Genomic DNA, 976 nt, shown 5'->3' with positions numbered 1-976 from the left:
AGGGACCCCAGTGTGACTATCACTGTTAAGGGAGCCGGGCTATCCGAACAAAGAGCCACTCTTTTTCCAGAAGCCGCTACCCTGTGCCCTGTGCCAGTGTCCATCCGGGACTCTTGTGGGGTGAGTCCTGAGGACTCGTGTCAGGGCCATGGAGAAGAAAATGACCTGGAGAAGAATATATTCTCACGGGGCATCCACTCCCAGCAGCCGCTATCCTCTGAGCTTGGACTCCTTCTGGAAAAGCCCCAGCTGCATGAGCCGGCGTCCAGCAGGTAGGGGTGGGCCCTGCACCTGAGCACAGAGGAGGCTGATGGCTGGACCACCACAGGGCAGGTCAGTGCCCAGCAGCCTGGTCTGTCGCATTGATGTGCCTGCACTCCTCACAGGTTGCTCACCTAGTCCAAGATGGCCCCATGCCAGTGCGAACACCACCTGCTCTTGCCCACCCCACATGAAAGGACTCCAGGGAGGGACCCCACTCAGAGCTACCAGGAGGATGCCGCCCACAGGATAAATCACACCCCCTCCAGGAGGTTGCAGCCCGGCAAGCCTGAGAGCCAGCCTTGTTCCCTGCCGCGGTGTCCAAAGACCAATGAATTCCTCAAGCATCCCCCGGCTGCCAGGCATAAAACAACCGAAATCCCCCCTGCCTCATTTCCTCATATCTTAAGGAGGCAGCGCTGGGGAGATACATGTCGAAACCCACTTACTGAGCCTATAAAGCGCTCGCTGTGAAGCAAGGGGGTTGTCACTCGCAAGCCTCCCCTGGTGCCTGGCATTTGCAGAGAGAGCAGCACCCTCCTCTGGGCCAAAGAGAGAGTGGAGTCCTCAGGTAATGAGGCAAGATCCCCAGAGGAAGAATTTCCGAAGAGGAGGCAGGACACTCGGCGGGCAGAGGCTCAGGCCTTCCTAATCAAATGCACACCTGAAATCTCAGGCACATTTAGAGCTGCAAAGGCCAAGAAGGAAATAACGT

At 57.5% G+C, this 976-nt stretch overlaps 1 annotated feature.

Annotated features, from left to right (window-relative positions):
* Window positions 242-743: an enhancer, noted in NCBI's record as "H3K27ac hESC enhancer chr10:132358601-132359102 (GRCh37/hg19 assembly coordinates)". NCBI's record gives its function as "activates a minimal SCP1, AML or CMV promoter by ChIP-STARR-seq in primed H9 embryonic stem cells {active_cell/tissue: H9 hESC(primed)}" and the evidence as "EXISTENCE:reporter gene assay evidence [ECO:0000049][PMID:30033119]".

Source organism: Homo sapiens, chromosome 10, assembly GCF_000001405.40.
Source record: "Homo sapiens chromosome 10, GRCh38.p14 Primary Assembly".
Taxonomy (NCBI): Eukaryota; Metazoa; Chordata; class Mammalia; order Primates; family Hominidae; genus Homo; species Homo sapiens.
The sequence above is the reverse complement of the archived record's forward strand: the minus strand, read 5'-3'. Positions and strand labels throughout refer to the sequence as shown.